This window comes from Homo sapiens, chromosome 1 (genome assembly GCF_000001405.40).
Source record: "Homo sapiens chromosome 1, GRCh38.p14 Primary Assembly".
Taxonomy (NCBI): domain Eukaryota; kingdom Metazoa; phylum Chordata; class Mammalia; order Primates; family Hominidae; genus Homo; species Homo sapiens.
In genome coordinates this window covers 83,550,118-83,571,004 of record NC_000001.11, presented here as the reverse complement: position 1 = coordinate 83,571,004, position 20,887 = coordinate 83,550,118, and the positions used below count along the sequence as shown (strand labels likewise).

Sequence of the window (20,887 nt, the reverse complement as noted above, 5' to 3'; positions counted from 1 at the left end):
CAATGGTATTAAGAGGTATGGCCTATAGGAGGTGATTGAGTTATGAGAGCTCCACTGTCATGAATGGGATTAGGTGCCCTTATAAAAAGGCATGACAGAGGGAGTTCATTCCTTTTACCCTCTGTCCCTTCTGCCATGTGAAGACATAGCATTCCTCCACTGTGGAGGAGCAGCAAAAAGTCACCATCTTGGAAGCCAGGGGCTTTCATCAGACACCAAACCCACTGGTGCCTTGATCTTAGACTCCCAGACTCTAGAACTGTGAGAAATAAATTTCTATTCTTTATAAATTACCCAATCTTAGGTATTTTGTTATAACAAAACAAAGAGACTGAGGCAGGGGGTCTATTGTGATAATTAATGCAGATCTCAGAAGTGACAATTTAGAACTCAGGAGTGGCTTCAGTATGGGGAAAGGAGAGGCTGATCTTGCATGTCTTTCTTACCACTGACCTTTACAGAACAAAATGAACTAAATCCTCGTTAATGCTGAGCCTTAAATTTTTCTAGTCCTCTCTCTCCCTTTTAGGTGCCCACACTCATAAATACACAGTCCCTTAAATATTGATCCAGCTTTGTTATTTAATCAAAAGCTTCTCTGTTCTCTTCTTATTACCTTAGCCTTTTGTGAAGCATAGCATTAAAAGCACCCAAATACTACATAATTTATATCTACAGCTTCTTCTTTTTCAAATTCCCATTTTCATGAACAAGTGATACTTCTGAGACTCTTTGGAGACTATCATTAAATCATTCCCCAGGGTCAGTTCTCCCTTTAGCAGTCAATAATACAATAAATCAATATTCTAGAGGTTTGTAGAAGACACTGAAGTTATTCTTCAGAAACCTAAAGATTATACTATTATTTTCAAGAATTTTAATTTGTAGTTCTTTGTCATTTGAAAACACTAAATCCTTCCTTACAAAGTATTGCCCTAGTTTTTCTTATGGTTCATTTTATTTTAGAATCCTAGCTGTCCTTATTTACCTGTTTGTATTAGCTATTAACTCCACTTTACCTAAATCCAACATCTGTTCAGGCTTTGTGTCTTTTTATTTGTTGCCTGCAAATGCTTGGGAAATGTACTTACATTCATTTATTCAAGAAATGTTTTTTCAGGGGTCACTATGGTGCCAAATAGCTTGGAAATCATGTAACTTGGAGGATCTTATTTGGGGTTGCCTATACTCATGAGGCTATGCTCTGATTTAAGTGTTCTTCCTGGGATTCAAAGCAGTGTATGGCATAGAAATTACCTGTGAAATGGGGGAAAACAAGCATAGAAACAGGAGAGTGCTCAGATACTAGGGACTACAGGGTGGAAGGGGACACAGAGAAATAAGACATCTAGCCAAGGCTGATCAGGGTCAGAGGGCCTTTTCTGGAGGATCTGAGCTAAATCTTGAAGAAAAAAGTGGGTTATCCAAGCAAAAAAGGAGTAGAAAAGTGCTGCAGGCAGAGGAAATAGCATAAGCACAAGTTTGGTGGTTCCAAATATCATGCTGTGGTTGGAATTAAACATAGTTCAATACCATTAGAATGAAAAGGAGAAGGCAAAAAGTGGGGTAGGGAGTGGGTGGGGAGACAAGGCTCTGGAAGTATGCAGAAGCCAGCTCAGAGAAAACTCTTCATGCCGCGAGAAGGAGCCTGGTTGTTATTCTACAGGCAACAGGGAACCACTGAAAGATTTTTAGCGGAGCACCAAGTAAATTTGAGTTTTAGATCACTTTCTGGGGTGCAAGGAGAACACATTTGAAAGGAGTGAATTCTGGGGTAGGGAAACCAGTTTGAAAGTGGCTGCAGCTGTGTAATGGAGGTGTAAGGGTGGCTGAGACTCAGGTGGAGGTAGAACTGGAAGGAAAGGGAGCAGCCTGGAAAATCTTTAGGAACAACACTTGTTCGTGGAAGGTGAGTGGATTGGCTGTGCTGTCATCTTTCTATGAGCGGGTGTAGGTACAGCCTCTGTGGTGATGCCTGGAGCGAGAAAGGCATCGTCCTTTCCTGAAATGATACCCAACACCTCTGTGCACTGTCAATACATTAGACATCTGATTCCACAGGGTAATGCTCACGAGGCACCAAATTTCCTGCAGTGGGTCCAATACATTACTCAGAAGTTTTCTCTTTTTGCACTTGAACATCTGAAGCTTAATCCCAGTGAGGGGAGCTGTCATTTTCTTCCCAGACAGGAAGCCGAATTGTCTTTTCGAATACCCCGGGGCTTTCTGAACTCACAAACCTTTCATTATAAGTACATGTCTAACTTACGGGGAAGTTACACAGAGTTCTCACCATGTGCCGTGCTTAAGATGCAGTTCACGTGTCTATAGTTTTGCCCTTGGTACATGGGCCCCTCAAAGGAAGCTGTCTCTGCAGAGGTCAAACGAAATGTTCTTTGAATTTGGAGGGTGGGTCTCACTAAAGGATGGGGTGTTGTCAATGCCCAAAAATGCTGGTGGACATGCATTATATCCTCAATCTATAGAAACCTATACAGCTGCCAGAAGAAAAAAATATCGCCAAACATCTTTTTAAATTAATTCATTAAATTATGTAAAATACTTATTAAGAATCTGCTCTGTGTCCTGGTGCTGTGTTAAGTCCTGGCTAATATGCTTTTAGCATATTAGATCATTGGCAGATCAGGGCTAGAAGATGGGCCATGTGAGGCTGGTGGGTGGGAGTGGATAATCACCCAGGACAGCCAGAGTCAGGGTATCTGCGGGGAGAAGGATTATAACAAGGGTCCTGGGCCAGAAGCCGAAGGTCAGGAGCTAAGAGTCCACATGTAAGTGTGATCTCCAAAGGATGAGAAAAGGATGGGGAGATGTGTCAGAGCTAAGAGATGGGGCCAGATGGGGATGGCTCCAAGTGGCAACAGGTTCAGAATGACAGCCAGAGGGTCCAGGGACATTGCTGCAAACAGATGGGAGTGAGAGGCCTACTGTCTAGTATACTGGAGAGTTATGTGTGGGTTCTTCTTGCTGACTTAAATGCAGAGGCTTTTGGCAGACATGACTTTAGAGTGCAAGGAAAGGGCTCTTAAACATTTATTTTCTGCTTGCAGGAGATAAGACTAAAATATATTTAAGTAAGCAGTGAAAGAGGGAAGGAACATCTAAGTGAGTGTATTACCATATGATGTAGGAGCCCAGAGGAAGAATTTAAAGTGGAATGAATTTGTAAAGCTTGATGAGTGAAGGAGAAGTTGGACAATTGTCCTACTCAAGAGCCATATTTCTTTTTAAAACCAAAGTCATCATGACTTTCCTGACTCCACACTATCCACACTCCCTGTGCCAACTTCAGTCTGTGGCATTATGGCTCAAACACTGCTCAGGAGCCACCTCCTTCATGAAAGGCCACCTGGATGACACTAAGTTAGTTTCAATCGCCTCCTTAGGGCTTGTATCCAGCTCCTCATCACTAGTAAGTTATTTGACCAATTGCATCTGCTAGATTATGAGGTTCATAAAATATTTATTATACACTGTTTATTTCTCTATGTGTCCAGTCCGACCAACAACAGAGGATGCTTCACTTTGGCATTTATGGCTCTCCATCACCTAACCCTACACTATCCTTTTTCCTATTTCTATGATTTTGAAAACTTCATCTTTCGTTACTCCTAAGTCAGCCTTTCTGCTCCAGGCAAGCCTGTCCCTCTTCCACCTCCAGCACATGCTGTATTTGTTCTAAAATCTCTCTGCTCCATTTTTCCATCTGCACTTCCTTTTCTTCCTTCCCCCCATCACATTATTCCTTTCCATTTTCTTTGTCCCCTTCAGGAGCTATCTTTGAGATCATGCCCTCATGACTTATTTGTACTATTTATGCTATTATACTTGTAATACTTTATTTGTAACTATTGTCACATCACTTATTAATTAAATACTCATCAATTTTTTAATCAAATAGTTATAAGTTCCAGAAACTGTGTTATGCACTGGAGACATATCAGGGAATATGACACAATTCCAGCCCTCCAAATGTTCACAATGTGGTACATTTGAGTTGTCTCCCTAATTGGATTTTAAAAATACTAAAACACTGCCATTCACGTGTACTTTACAGTTTGCAATGTGCTTTCAAACATTGTATCTCATGCAATTTGATCTTTATCACAATTTTAAGTGTAATTTTAGTGAGGCAGAATTAATGTTAAATTAAATGGACTAGGATGATCTATCTGATAATGAGGGAAGGTGACCCATATATTCTTGCCCCAATTCCAGTGCTCCATCTACCATGTGATACTACATGGAAGATAATTTCTCCTCTAGTTCTTTGATAACTTTTCAACAGTGCAGAGAATAACACTTCTACACAGCAAGCACTCAGTAGACTTAGGTCATCTTCCTGATGAATTTGCTATTGCCTGATTTTCTGACTTACAAAGTAGGAGACATCAAAAGTGGTTGGTCCAAAGTAGGAGACATCAAAAGTGTATTTGGCCCAAGGATGAGTGCTGCCTGAAAAATGTCATGCAGTCAAACTGGCACATCATAAAACTTGGATCCTGGTAGGAAAACAAAATTTAATTTTGGCTCTTCGATCTTTGTATGATATGGTGGTACTGGTGTGTATATGTGTGTGTTTGTATTGTTCTCTATCTCTCTGATTTTTTTCGCAGTCTTTAAGCATTTACAAAATATTTGGTTGAAAGTCCCATGAAGGCTGTTGGGAGACAGAGCCTCATGGGGCAGGCAGGAGAGGTATCAGGCATATTGTGGTGGTGGTGGTCCCCCTGGTTAGTTTTTTTTTTTTTTATTTGGAGTAAGTGGTTGCTTTCTTCTTCTTGGGGTGGAATTTGTGGTTCTCAGAATCCATAATCTCTTAGAGTTCAACACTGGTAGAATTGAAAATTTGAATGCAATATGGAACAGCCATATAAGATTATCCTCAAACAGATTATATCTCAATAATGCCATTGCCATGTAGAACTGCCTCTTTTTTCAATATCTATAATTCAATACAATTTAATTCAATCCCATTAAACTAACATTTATGGATCATTGGCAACCTTTGAGGCACTCAGGGTTCCTGGAAGGATAATGCTCAGACCCTGACCTCTGGCAAACTCAAGTAGTCTTTTTTTCCACTCCCAAAATGACAATTTTTGTCTATTTCTATATGGTCCCTAAGGGATGTGGGAAAAAGATCAATTATCTCTTCTTTTTATAAAGAAAAATTGGTTGACGTGTTTTTCTCTTTTGTCAACAGATTCCTTTCAGTCTTAAGCATGCCCTTTCTCTGGCACCGAGTACATTTGATCACCTTGTCACTGTCCTAGCTCCCCACAGAGAACCAGGAGAGGGCCATAAAGGACACTTTATTTGTTCCAACTCAGCTGAGTTCTTATAGCTCACCTTCCAATTGGACAAACATTATAACAAACTAAAAAGCAAAAAAGTAAAACTTTGAACAGCTTCTCAGAAGAACAACGTACTCTGGAAAGCTAGCTGATTTGCTTTACCTCCTAGTTCTCTGCATGATGGAAACAAGAGCCTAATTGATGTAGCATTGACATGATTTCTCTCAAAATGTACAGAACGGCATCTGCCATGGCCCCTGTCATTCTTCTGAATACTGGCTTCACCTCAGGGGGTGATTCACACTGAGACATTTTGCTCCACAGCAAAACTTCTACTCCGATATCAAAGAAGTAGCAACAGGGGCAGGGATGTGCCCAGGTTTATTAAGATGCATTTGTGGATGTCACAATAAGGGGAACGTAGATTCAGTAGTTGTCTTAGCTTATAGTAGCTGGGAAAACTTTATGTTCTGTGCTAGAGATGAGAGCAACGGGAAGAAAAACAACTTAAGGAAATAAAAAAGTGAGGAGATCAGCTGCCTCCGTTTAAGGTCTCAGAAAACTCACATATTTTGTATATTAATATATTCTGGCAAAAATACGGATATGTTAAAGTGTTTTTTAAACCCCCCAGGTATTTTAGCTCCAATGATCTGATCTGTTTTGAGACCTTTGCCGGCCATGAAAAGATGGACGGGGGGAGCGAGGGGCCCAGAGCGAGGGATAGGACCATTGAGAGTCTAACAAGTTTTTATTAAATGACTCATAAATACCAGGGAGATAATTATAGTGGTTACTTTAAGCTCATTTTAAATTAAAGTGAAAATTGTATATTTTTTGATATGGGACTGTATTCTAAATGCATCACTATAGGGTCTGGATAAATTCAAACACTTAAGAACTAAGCCCTGATAAGAGCAAATGTGCTTTGGGGATGTTACAAATGGGGCCATTGATGGCCCTGCTCAGCTAGGGAATTGCTGTGACCTTGGGTGTGTTCTTTGAATTCCCTCAGCATTAGTTTTTCCATCTGCAAAATGGAAAGGGTTGTTGTAGGTATCTTATGGGAATTGCCTAAACAGTAAAAGTCTTAGAAGAGAGGGCTTTGGGAGAAATGAAGCGAGTTTATGTCTCTCTCCACACTCTGTCTCCCAGCCTGACCAGTTGTCTGTCTTCATAAACTCCCTTGAACTGATTCTGGGGCTCCTGCTCTCCCTTTTACAAGCCTTACACATAGTGGGGCCTGCTTGGGTGGAATTAGCTGATGGCAAATATGGACATCAGGGGCACTTGAAAGAAAATAGCAGAAACATTGACCTATTGTTCACATCCTGTGGTAGGCAGAACAACGTCACCCTCTCCAAATGTCTACATCCTAATTCCTGGAATCTGGTAAATACGGTTACCTTACATGGCTAAAGGGACATTGCAGATGTGAGTAAGTCAAGACTCTTGAGATGGGGAGATCATCCCGGGTTATCCAGGTGTGCTCACAAGGGTCCTTAGAAGTGAAGAGGGAGGCAGGAGAGTGGGTGTCAGAATAAGAGTCAAAGAGAGGTCTGAAGATGTCAGGCTACTGGCTTGGTAGGTGCCGGAAGGAGCCACAAGCCATGGAGTGGGAGTGGCCTAGAGAGGCCGGAAAAGGCAAAGAGTGGAATCTCCTGTCGAGTCTCCAGGAGGAGCAAGCCTTGCCAACACCGTGATTTTAGCCCCGTGAAACCCATTTCAGACCTCTGACTTCCAAAACTTCAAGACAATAATAAATAGGTGTGGTTTTAAGCCACTGACTTTGTAGTAATTTGTCACAGTATTAAGGGAATACTACTACATATCTCAAGGCCATAATTTCATCATTTAAAAATGGCACTGGAGAAAAAAAAACCCAAAAACGTCATCAACTTTTTCCTTTAGGGTAATCTACCAACTGGGAGGAGCAGAGCTGGTGAAAACGGACTGAACCTTCCGGCCCGGCTGCATCGCCTAGTGCGTGGATATAATTTGGCTCTATTTTATCATCATGATATATTTCACTTCTCCCTAGTCATCACCTTACACCCTCCAGAATGATCTTTTGAAACCAGAAATCTGATCACACCACTTTCCTGCTCAAAATTGTCAACACTTTTATATTGCCTTTAGGAGAAAGGGTGAGTTTCTTAGCATAAGAGCCTACAACAGCCTCTGTGATCTGTTCCTGATGAACTCCTGGCTGTATTGCCAGCCACATGTCCCCCGTTTTCCACCAAGACCCTAGGTTATATCCACAGGAAGTAACTGACATGACAGGTTCCTACTTGCTGTGGTTCCTCATAGTTCCTTGCTTTCACTTGGATGTCCTCTCCTTTTAGCTAATATTTGTTGAGCTCTTATTATTGTACTTGACACTTATAAAGGCTTTGCAGGTGTCGACTCATTAAATCCCATGGAGTAGGTGCTGGTATTATCCTTATTTTACCCATCATGCAACTGAGGAATACAGAAGTTAAGTAGCTTGACCAAAGTCACATGCCTGCCTGGTAAGTAGTAGAACCTGGTCCAGGAGCAGGAGTGAGGTGCAAGAGAGAGGGAAAGAGGGAAGGAGGAAGCCAATATGAGGGAATAGTATCAGTTGGTTATGTCCATGGGCACCATGGGTTTGATTCTGCTAGATCCTTTGGAGGAGCAAATAGAATGTCTCTTAGAATTATCCACCTAACCATTGATAGGGGAAATCACTTCCTCACTGGTTTCCATTCCCCATTAAAGGTCACCTGATGGGGATGTTAAGTGCCTTATTCTTTTGGGTGGCACATGGGTATGTGGCAAGTAGACACCTGGACAATACCAGTGTTCTATACAGTGACACTGGAACATTCTTAGAGATGGGAAATTCCATGGCATAAAGCTACAGGCGCTCAGCAGGCACTTGAGATGACACTTTGTCACAGGAATTCTCACAGATTGCCGCAGCTACAGTGGGAATCAGAGGTAAGATCCGGAGACATGAAGTGTGACATAATAAGCTTTCGATTTGTGCTCCAGGTTTTTTTGTCAAGGGTAATATTTCAGGGGTTTGTGGTGTGTGGAATGCTTTTGTAAATTTGTGTAGATCCCAGTGTTTTTCATAAACAGTCTTAGGAAGTATTTTATTGTATTAAAATGGTCACATTACATGACCTTTTATTTATTTATTATTGTTATTATTACAACTTATATTATTAATTTATTCTGCCAGATATTCTACAAATGTATGCTAATTCCTATTCTTTGATGCACATTTTCTTGAGAAAAATCAGTAACAAGCTAAGCAAGAGTCAGTCTACACAAGCACTCACCAGAAAGAATCTAAAAGTTCTGAGACTGGCAGCAACCAGATTAGAAGTCTTGCTTAATGCCATCCATGAAACATAATCTTATGAAAAGGACCCATTGAAGAAGGGGATGAGGTAGGGAGAAGGTAGAACCTTCACTTGCTTTCTTCTTCTGTAAAGGTAGAAAGAAGCACATTCAGATTAAGTAAAGGGAAATATCCTCTCAAGATGCCTAGCTACCTGCCAGTTTAGAGTTGGAAGCAGCAAATCTGAGCAGAGCTCTCAGAGGCCTGGAGAGCACTGAGTGTGGATGACAACCATAGGTGGCAGAGGAAAGGTGCCTAGTGAGTGGGCCTCTGGAGACGAGGCACTCACTTTGCTGCCAGTCTGGCACTGCTGGCTGGGGAAATGACATTTGAGCTTCTGCATATGAGGTGTGTGTGGACAACAGGCCACTGATGTCCTCATGAAGAAAAACAAATTGAAGACTTTTCCAGAAGTCTAACTCAACAGGAATTTTCTCATTCCCCAACCTCTTAAAAAAAAGAAAAAAAAAAAAGAAGAAGATTATTTTCAGAGTCTATTTGTTTCACTGCTGGAGACCAGGGAATAGAGATGTAAGGGCTGTTTGTCAACTCTCAGGCAGAGAAATCACTAATTCATTTCTTTCTTGGGTCAGGGGACCTGATCTCCTTTTATCAAAAGAAAATTACTTCACAGAGAAAGCACTGTCACTATAAGGGGGAAAGGAATTAAGCAGCCCAGAATTTGCAAGCAGCTCATTTGCTTCTGTTCTTTAACTGGTCTTTAAGCTGGAGCTTACTTGCTGTCTGCCTAGAAGTTTAGAATTAGTTTCCTGTATGATCATAAGGAAGTCATTAAGTTACATTTTATTTGTAATGAAAATACCCACAAACACAAATATACACACGGACTCGCACATACTTGTATTCTCACAGGGCAGCTTTGCCTTAAAGTTTGAACCCAAACTCAATCCAGCTAATATGTATTAAATATGCACTATGTGACAGGTTCTGTGAGGGTGTTGGGGGGAAGAAAGACAGGGTTTCTGCCGTAACGAGCCAATAATCTCCTTAGTAAGAAAAAAACTTGGAATGAGAAACCATTCATTCGTTTAGCCATTTACTCAACTGATAATGTATCCTGGGCCTATTGTGGACTGAATTGTGTCTTTCCCCATTCCCTGCCCAAATTCATATGTTAAAGCTCTAACCCCAATGTGACTATACTTGGAGATAGAGCCTTTTGGGAGGTAATTAAGGTTAAAAAGGTCATAAGAGTGGGGTTCTTTGGTAATCCCAGCACTTTGGGAGGCCGAGGTGGGTGGATCACGAGGTCAGGAGATCGAGACCATCCTGGCTAACACAGTGAAACCCCGTCTCTACTAAAAATACAAAAAGTTAGATGGGCGTGGTGGCGGGCACCTGTAGTCCCACCTACTTGGGAGGCTGAGGCAGGAGAATGGTGTGAACCTGGGAGTCGGAGCTTGCAGTGAGTCGAGATCACGCCAACGCACTCCAGCCTGGGCAACAGAGCGAGACTCCGTCTCAAAAAAAAAAAAAGAGAAAAAAAGAGTGGGGTCCTAATCTGATAGGGTTGGTGGCCTCTTAAGAAAAGAAAGAGACAGCAGAGAGCTCTCTGTCTCGCTTCCCCCTGCATGCATACTCAGAGGTAAGGTCACAGGAGGATTCAGGAAGAAGGCTAGTCACAAGGCAGGAAGAGAGGCCTTGCCAGAAACCAACCCTGATGGCACCTTGACCTTGGACTTCTGGCCTCTAGAACTCTGAGAAAATATGTTCTTGTTGTTGAAGCCACCCAGACTATGATATTTTGTTATGGAAGCCATAGGAGACTAATACAGGGCCTATTTGGTGCCATGCACTGAGCTAAGTGCTAAGTACAGCACCGAATGCAACAGACACAGTTCCTGTACTCAGGGGTCTCTTTCTGGAGGAAGAAGGTAAAGTGTGACAAAAGCTACTGGAGCAGAAAGAGAGTTACCTGTGGAGAATTCAGGGAGGAGTCTGCTTTATTTTGGAGTCAGGAAAGGCCTGCTAAAAGTGATTATTTGATCTCCAAGGTAAGTTCAAAGATGGTAGGGGTTGGGAGGAGGGAAGTTCAGCCCAGGCATGGTGATGACCTGTGAGAAGGCTCCGTGGCAGGACAGGCTTGGTTAGTTTAAGACCCTGGAATAAAGCCATGTGGAGAGCTTACTGGCAATGGAGAGAGACAGGCCTAGTCCACATCACACGGATTCCTGAAGCCGCATCCTGAGGATCATCTTGATCCTAAGAGCTCAGGAAGGATTCTAAATGGGGGAAAGGAAGCAAATTGAAGTATTATGAGGGGACTCTCAGGGTGGGTAAGCAAGTTGGGAAGAATAAGGTCCCTCAGACCCTCCTATCACAACAGCCTGAAGCACTGTTTCCCAAGGCTGGATGGAGTGTGTGGGAAAGATGATTTTTTGTGGAGAAATTGTTATTTTTATATGCCTAGGAAGATCTATCCCTTAGGCATGTTTTGTAATTGCACTTTCTGCAGCTTGCTAGGAAGAAAATGCCTAAATTATTTCAAAGAAAAGTACTTCAGGCATTTGTGGTTTTAGGGCCATCAAGTGCCACAAACCCTACTAAAACAGACCATTCAAAACAGAAAGTGTTGAAAGACATGCATAACTGAATCAGTCACTTAGAAACGTCTTTCTTTGCTTGTCAGCTATAGAAATGGTTGGAACTGATAAATGGCCTGCTGGAGAATTCGGTCTGCTGGTGGTGCGTCTATCCTAGGTGTTAGCAGTGACACTGCTCTGACAGGATTCAGGGCCACATCTCAGGCAAGCTTTGCCCAAGGCCCAAAGTGTTGACTGGAAGATGATCAATTATAGCGAAGCTTGGATGTTGTTGCCAGGTAGTCACACATTCAGCATGAATGTCACTCTCCATTCCAGAAAGGAGCTAAAAGGAGATTAGAGGATGTGGGGGTTGAAACTGTGGCTGTAGGAAGGGGTGAGTGTGGGAAGGACAAGGGGAAAAACATGTCAGGCTACCAGACACTTGGTAGAGTTTATGCAATTAGTTCCTCTTTCCCCCATGCAGCTGAGCCAACTCAAACGAAGCACACAAACCATTCTTCTTAATGCCCCGTGAGCTTCACAAGAGTGACTTTCTGGAACAGAATCAGACGTTTGTATGATTTCCTTCAGTTATTTTTCTTTTTCTTGTGGCCCCTATTCCCTTAGTTGCTACTTTGCCTTGCCTCATCCACCACAGAGCACATCAGAGATATGGATGTAATTCCTAGAAGATTTGAAAACCCTGAACTTGCAGAATCAGGGCATTTCTCCCAGTTGTTGATATTATTTTTGCTTTTTTCCCCCCTCAATTTGGAATGCCCAGCTGGGCCTGGACTGAATTCTCCTCTCTGATCTGTAGCCTGGAGTTTTCTGCATATGCACCCTACCAGTGAGCCCTGCCTGGTTATCAGAGGGAACTCACGCCAGAGAGTAAGTGCAGAGCATGCTCCAGAGGGCTACAGTAAAGGCAGGAGATACATTTGCCCTTTGACTGTAGAGAATAGTAAATTACCACAGATCTATTTAGCTCCATCTGTAGCATTTGGCACACTAACCTAGGAGATGGCTGGAAAACCTGGTATCTTGGAAACTGAATATTCTTTAAATGCAAAAATGGAGGACATGGCTAGAGAAATGGTAGAAGAATTGTTTGAAGGTAGATTGTCATTTTTCAGTGTAATATTTAGACAACCTCTCTGCCTCTCATTCTTTTCTCTCATTGACCTAGTTTTAATTATGCCATATGAAACATGTACTTGGTCTTTACAGCCATAAATTAGTTGCTTCTTATAATCGTTTCTAAATTTGGGGAGAAAAAGTCTTGGGGTGGTCTTTGATCATGTACTGCAAAAATGTCAGAAGACCACAAGAAAAATAGACAAGGTTAAATCCCGTCAAACAAAGTTCCATTTTAGAAAATTTCATATTTTGTGTGTTCATGGCTTCTTCAGTTACAAATGTGGTTAGGTTTCTTAAATTAAGATTGACATGAACCTCTTCCAACTCTTCCTCTGGATTTCAAGGTTTCCTTTAGGTTTTCTACACCTATGCATGTCAAAGAATTGTTCAGCTTGTTCAAGTCCCTGTTTCTCAAATCCTAAGATGAAATTCCGGACCACTATGTCATTGGTGCCTGGATTCTGGAAGGAGTTTTATTTTATTTGTGCGATATGAATGGAAGTGTTATGTGCTTTCTTTAATGGTGAATTAGATTTTCTTTGCTCCTTACACTTTCAGGAGATTCCTATCTCCCTGCCACATTCCTTAATGCCTTTGTTTCAAACATGTGTAAAACATATTCTTTGAAGTGTCTTACTTAGCCAAACCAAACTGGTGTATTACAAAAGAGTATTAAGGCTGTGCTTTAAAACCACCAAGAATGGAAATTATAACGAATTAACTTTCTTTCCCAAGCTAGTCTAAATCATAACTGCCTCATTTTCTATGGTCCTGCAACTATAGCTCTACATCTTTTATTTACCTGTGTCCTCAGATAATTCTAGTTGGTGGGAGGCGAGCACCATTATGCATATTTTACAGTTAAGGAAACAGCATCAGAGATGTTAAGTAACTTGCTTAAGGGAAGTCTGTTAGAGGGACTTAGAGTTGGGATTCAAACCCAGGCATGGCAGCCTGCATTTTTCCCACTCTGTCTCCCTGGCTCTCCTGGAGTCTGTGTTGGCTGCTGGTTGGAGAGAAGGAGATCGAGTGCTATGTTTGGGACCAGTGGGAGACAGCTTTGTGAGATGTCTATATACACAGATGCTAGGGTCAGGTTGATATTTGAAGAGTCACCAATATCAACTCTGTGCATTTTTTTTTCTTATCGGTAAAATGGGGATAATAATGCTATCAACCTCATAGGGCTGTAGTTAGAATTGAATTAAGCCACGTAAATAATTTAGTACCTTGTCTGGCACAGAGAAAATTGTTAGCAACTCTTATTTTATTTCTGTGCCTCCCTCCTTTCCTTCTTTCTTTCCAACATCAATCAGTTCTTGAATACTTAATAAATGCTTGCACACTAGTCTAGATATAGTTAGTAGACATGAGCACAAGGTAGTTCTTGAAACTCAAAGTTCTTAAGCTTAGTGGGGGCAGTAAATTATATAATAATGGGATATACATTACTGTAAAGACATGTGTGATAAATAACCGGTTGTGTAGAATATTCCAAGGTGGAAAAATAATAAGGATATTTGGGGTGGAAGGAACATAATATGCAAAAATATGTGGTGGATGGCTGGATGTGGTGAAGGGAGTGAGAAGTGTGGTCAGAAGTGATGGAAGTTGAGGCAGAAAAGTAGAAGAGTAGGCAGAGAGGGGGGCTGAATACCATACATGGAGGAGTTATTTTATTTACATAGGAAAAGGCATATAATGCTCACCATGTATAAGTCACTGTTCTATGCCATTTACCAGTATTAACTCAATCCTTCTAATAAGCCTACAATGTAAGTAACCCATTTTACAGATGGAGAAACTAAGGTGCAGCCCCAAGTCACTCTGCTTATAATTGGCCCAGCTGGTATTTGAATTCAGACAGGTAGGCTCTGGAGCCCTTGCTTTAGCTGCCTTGCTTGCCTGCTTTACAAGTATGAACCTAACCCTGCCGAAAATGGAAATATACTTATTGATCATAGGTAGGCTTGGGATATGATTTTCTTTTGAACTTTAGAAAGATTATTTTGGTGGCATAGTTGGGTGCATTGAAGCAGGGAGACTAAAGGCAGACAGATTGTTTAGGAGGGAATAATGGCCCAGGAGGAAAAGAATAAGGACCAGGGCAATCACTGTGGGTGACAAATGTGAGGGTCAGTTTGGAGGCATGATAGTGGGGTGGCAGGGAGGTGAGGGAGATGAGAGAAAGTAAGGGCCACACTGGTTTCCAAGTTGTGTGCTTGAGTAGAACCATTAATGTTTAGGAATCAGCCATGTGGAAAAAGAGGGATTAAATAAGAAAAAGCAAATTCTCCTAAATCCAGGAAATATAAAATGCATCATTAGATAAGAATAATTCTATGGCTTCTCAGTATATCAGTTTTAAACCTCGAAACACCCACGGAGTTGATAGGAAGGAATGAATGAGAATGTATATTTAAAACTAAAACGAAAAACAAAGGTCAACAAAAACACAGGGAAACTTGTTTGGAATGTTTTTCTGTTACTATGAAAATGAAACCATTTGTAGCATTTCGGCATAGAAAGGGGGGCTGGCAAACGAGGTGGGCAAGGGACGAGAGGGTTGGCAGAGCTGAAGCAGGCCTGAGAGCCAGTGAAAGCATTGCTTGCTTGGAATATGGCCCTTGTTACCTCCCACTGATTACACCGCAGGACCTGCATGGAAGAGAAGAAAATGCACTAAAGGAAACCACTAAAAAGGTCTGCATTTTTCTGTCTTCTGTCTCAGCCCTCTCGTCCTCCCTGGAATCCATCATTATCCTTCTCTCTCCAATTGTACTACTGTATTTTTCTCCAATAAAAACCAGTCTATTTGAGGCTGATCTCCTAACTGTTACATTAGGAGGTGGGAGAACTTTATAGGAGATGCTTCTAAAACGTGGGATGGTGACAAATCAGGATTATCAGAGAAAAGTACACAATCATAACTCAAGAGTGGCTCTTGCCATAGGAATGGTCCCTCAAAGCTCTCTGCTTTTTGCCTTCTGGATCAGCATGTTCACAAAGCTGTCTTAGGCAATTATTAAAAAGCCTTGAAACTTTGCAGACTATTTGGACTATAGATTGGAATATAGGTGCAAAGAAGTAGATTTACTGTGTCCAAATGCAAAACTAATCAACTCAGAATGACAATTTCATATGGTTATGCCCATTACAACTTTGTTTGACTTCTCTCATCTCTTTGAGTATATGGGATGTCATTAATGTTACCAGCTGCATGACTTTCTCTGAATACCAATAACAGAGGAAAAAAAAACAAAAACAAACCCCACACTCAACAGCCATTGGCTCTCCTGTTTTCCACTTAGATAGCTATTATACTGCCAAGGCAAATGTGAAACAGTCTCCCACAGTAACAGCAATTTCCCAAATGCCCTGTTAATTTTCAGTAAACCAAAATAAAATGTGTTATTATTTATTAAGAATATGCACTACATACGGTTTCCAGATGATAAGTATTTCAGTAAAGTACTACATTGAGGACAATTTGAGTTGGCTTGCAAACTGTAACCTTAGAGTAATGGGTATAGCCCAGGGTCAGAATTGTCACTTTTATTGGGTTAATTCAATGCTCATGGTTTACAGGCTATGATATAGGACCAGTGAAAAGTTTTTCCATCCCCAGTATCAGCTGCATTATATATATAATTTTATGTAAAAGAGTAGCATCCCATATATCATTATTTATTCATAATGACTTTTACCAAACAACTGCATGGCACAGGATGATAGTGTAGTCTGGGGGACAGAATATGGAACACACATTCCAAACACTGGGTCTGAGACAACTCCTTCAATTATATCAACTTTAGAAGCACAAAGTAGGAAAATAAAATTTCACAGTTGTGAGACAGCAGGTCATGATTTCACAAATAGAATATGAAAAATGGAAGGATCTCAGGTTTGGGAACGATTTGGGCTCTCTTTAGGGTAGTTAACACATGCTTTAGGAATCTTTGCTATAATACGGGACCCTGAGTCTCCACTTGAATTGTGGGGGCCCTGAGCTAACCTCTGCTTTCTAGAAACTTCCAAGCCCTGAGGAGAGGAGAGCAGCATCTGATCAGGACTCTGGCAGTGACAGGGCACCCTCTGGTTCTGGCCCTGGCCAGATCTCTTGTGAGAGCCGCCTGCTTCGGCTTCATTTCCTCTTCTCTGTGCTTCCAGGTTCTCACAGCTGGGTCTGTGATTTCCTAACCGAATGCTGCCTGGGTTAGGGAAGACTTAGCCTCAGTTCCTGCTCTCCCCTGGTGGCCTGACTGTGAGATGTTCCCCCAGACCAAGGTCTGGCACCCTGCAAAGAGCTCTGGGCTGTGTCATCGCCTCCCACCCGGAGGTCAAACCCTTCTGTTCTCAGGGCTTCAGGTCACTGAATTAGAATTCCAGTTCGGTTTTAGCTATTTGCCTTAAGGAAAAGGAAGTTATGGTGCTTTTTAAAAATTACACATAAAATATGTATTCATTTAGGAAAACCAGAACCCCAGCCCCTCAAGTTACACAATTCCCACTGCCTAGTGATAACTACCACTAACATTATGAGTTTTATTCTTCAAGGAATTTTCTCTGTACATATATACAAAGGCTTACTTTTTTACAAAATGAGATTGTATGTGTGTTGTATGTGTGTATGTATCTATATACTTTTACAATGTAAATATGCATTTTTTCTTGCATATACATACCATATTAAAAATATACTCTATGACATTATTTTTAGTGGTTAGTATTCTAATTTACTTAAAATAAGTTTCAAATTTGAAATTTCAAGAATGTATTTTTGCACATCTACTGCTTTTATCACTTCCTCTGATTTTCCCAGTTCCTCTGCCTGAAGCCTTATGTGTGACTCCAAAGGGGATCCTGGTTCTCACAACATAATGAATGAAAGAATTATCCCTGATAGACACTTGTCTGAAATGTATTTGCCTTGGATTTTTTTTTTTTTTTTTTTTGACTTAGGAACAATTTATTAAAGTGAATAATTTTCAGATTTATTTACCATTTCTTCAATGGCAGATTTCTTTCAGATTCTTAGGGTCCCTGTTACCATTTTAACATACACAGAATGTTAAGATGTTAAAAGTCACTTTTAGACAGATTTTAAAAATAGACGAAAAATCACTCCTGATATATAACACAGGCCCTATTTTACATTGTAGATCTCTTAGTAAAGCTTTAATCAAGACGGAAACTTTTATTTACTTTTTAACCCAAGTCATTTGAAGAATATATTGTTATATTTTTTCTAGTAATTTTAATACATTTACTATAAAGTCAGCTTTCCTTGTATTTTTAATAATTCATTTTTTGATATGTTCAGTGCTCTATTGAGCAATTGCCTTGGATTTTTAAGAGTTCCTGAATGATTTTGCTTCAGTGTTCTTCTGACCATGTTGTAAACAACGCTGCCCCAAAGGAGCATAATAAAGGAGCATAATAAAGTTCAGAAACTTCATTAGCATACATAATAATAGCTAACATTTATAGGGCTTGAGTTAAATTAATTAGCTCATTTAATTTTGACAAAAGAACCCTATGAGGTAAATATGATCATTCACGTCATTTCCAAGTTGAAGAAACAGAGGCACAGAGAGGTTAAATAACTTGCCTAAAGTCACACAGCCAGTAAGTGCACACTTGCAATTTAATCCAAGCACCCTGGCTCCACTACCAAAGTGCTTCATTCCTATGCTGTGCTTCTTTTAATCCTAAAAGCATAGAGTCTTTCTGCCTCATCTAGAGTGAACTCAAGCCTGGAGTTGGTATCACTCAGACATCACTTCCCAAAGCATAGATATTTTCTTGCCTACTAGTAGCTTTTATTTCTCAGAAGTACAGGTGAGTGGGACATTGATGGAGACAGGCCCCAGAGCAACCACCCCATAGCCTGGCATCTCTCTTTGCATTGCTGCGGTGTTCCCTTGAAGTCATCTATAGTCTAGGATGCACTGGAACGGATGGATATGCCTTGATTTTCTCTGCTTCTGGTGCAGCATGGAAAGAGAACAAGGGTGTGAGAGGTGAGCGGGCAAGTGCTCCTTGATCTTTACTCCAGGATATCTTGGGGAGTTCAACTCTTTCCCCAGACCACCCCCTCCTCCCTTCCACTTATCTACTATCCCTCTTGAAGTAGTGAGAACATAGTGGGGAGAGACTACAACTAAATTTGTGAATTTAGTTCTAGTCTCAATCCCACATAAATGTTGTGTGTGTGTGTGCATGTGTTTGCTTGCATATTTTGGCTTTGTTTCTGAGTGCTATGAAAATATAGGAAGAAGGGAAACATGACCCATCCAAAATACTCTATCTTTCACTTGCTGTGCAGCTCTCAGGAATTATGCTAATTTTATGTAAATCTTGATAGTCTCTTATCTACATGTAGAAAATATATATTTAAAGAACGATCATTCTCTCAAACTGTACCTCAGTGAAAGGAAGAAAACAGCAGCTTCAATGAATAATTGAAACTTACATAGCAATGTACAACTGGAAGCCAACTTGCAGTCTTCTGACTTCTACTTCAAGAAGTCAGCACTCTGACATGTGTCTATAACATTTCAAAGGGGCACAACATGCAGATACCACCTGTAGGTAACTGACTGCTGGGGTGGGGGTACTTTCATCTACTGCTCCCCACATCACATACATACTTTGTTGGTTGGAGCACTGAGCACCATCTCATCAGTCAGCCCCCAGAACACAATTGCATTCCAGAGGCTCCACTTTAATGCTGCCAGGTAGCTTCTCTCTTTTTCAGCATGTGCTTGGTGCTCTTCTTGAAATTAAACAGTGACCTCTTACTTACCTTCAGGTCTAACACCAGGCTGGCTGTGATCCTACCCAAAGCTTGTCTCCTGATTCATGCAACCAACAACCGGGGCTCATCAATAGTGAAAAGGAGGTCTTTGCTCCTCTGTACTTGTCATCAAAGCCAAAGGAGCTCATGTTCCTCAGGGCAACATCTGGCTAGAATTTATGTGGTGGGCATGGAAATATTATTTTCTAGATATAATGATTTCTTTGCTTTGGCATGGCTGATAATGGCACCCTGCCACCACCAGAAACTAACCATGTCATTTTCCTCCTGTCAACAAGTTCTTACCAGTGATTTCCTGTCATTCCTGCCCTATTTTAAAAGGGGCAGCTTCTCCCTTGGCAGCATACTTCAGGAAATAATCGCATCAGCTGGGCAGCTGTTGAGGTGGAGAGTTCTATGCCAGAGGAACGACCTCTTTAGGATTCATTGCTACACTGACAACTGTAACTTGTCCTTACTCCATCTGATGTCTTACCAACAGCTCCTTCCGTAATTCCCCACGACGTGGCCTTTGCTCCCTACCCACTGCTGAAATGCTCTGGTCTTCCACTTGTAACTTTGAGCAATTTTGGCTCAGTCGCTGTGCTCATTGTTGTTCCCTTCTTTTGGTTCCTGTTGATGGGTCCCTCCTTCCCAATGCTCTCTCCTGATCTTTGCTTTCTAGGTCATCGAACTTCTTTGAGCCCTTTGATTTTTCTCTTTGGTTTTTTCCTGTTTCTTCTTTGCTTCCTCTTGTTCCTTTGGCTTCCAATCTGTGGGCCATGTAGGGGTCCAAAGAACTCTGTCCTAGGGACCTTTCCTCTCTACTCACTCTGAGAGTTAACCCATACCCATGCATTTAAATGCCAACTTAGTGATACTAACCAAAACCTTCAGCAGTGGCTTAAAACATGAAAATTATCCAAGCACACAATTTACAGTGGGAAATATTTCTAAAAGTCTTGGTAAAATTCATTCCCTGAAGGAAACCTCATATCCTGTCATATCCTATTTGTGGAACCACATTCAATTCTTTTAACTGGTATTTTTGGGCATTATTTAAAAATATCTAAAAATAATACTTATGTTGCTCTTTCTTTCTTTCTATTTTTGTGTGTTCTTAGCTATTGGCTTCCAAGGTAGATGAAGAAGATTTAGCTTCCTTTCACGTATACCACATTATACCTATACATATTCTCTCTTCTCCCTATTCTTTTTAAAGAATCATTTTAAAATTTGAATTAAATGAATAAGCAGTGTTTATGTTTGACTATAAAAATGTTACTTACGGTGAAAGATAGATAACATACTATGATTATTTTAAGAGGTAACATGGAGTAATAGTTAAGAGAACAGCTTCTAGAGTCCAACAACCTGGATTCAAATCCCAAAGACAGTACTCACTATTAGGAGCTAGCTCTGTTTCAATTTCTTCAACTGTAGAATGAGATACTCATAGTATCTACAACAATGAGTTGTGATAATTTATAGTTAATAACTGAATTAATATAAAATTAATAAATATAAAGAATTAGAACAATCCATGTCTTCCAGTAAGCACTAAATATGTGTTAGAAGTTTTTGCTTTTATTATTATCTTTCCCTGTGCAACTTTTATTTTTTCCTGGGATTAACAATAACAATCATAGTCATAATTTATATTTTTATTTGTATAGCTTTCCGTGTACTAGCTATTCTTAATCTGACTTGG

The 20,887-nt window shown here is 40.7% G+C and overlaps 1 protein-coding gene across 2 annotated transcripts in view; it reads right to left on the bottom strand.

Moving 5' to 3' along the window:
- LOC107985043 (uncharacterized) overlaps positions 1 to 20,887 on the bottom strand; it is a 57,359-nt gene that overhangs the window by 3,089 nt on the left and 33,383 nt on the right. The gene's annotated exons all lie outside the window — the stretch shown is intronic.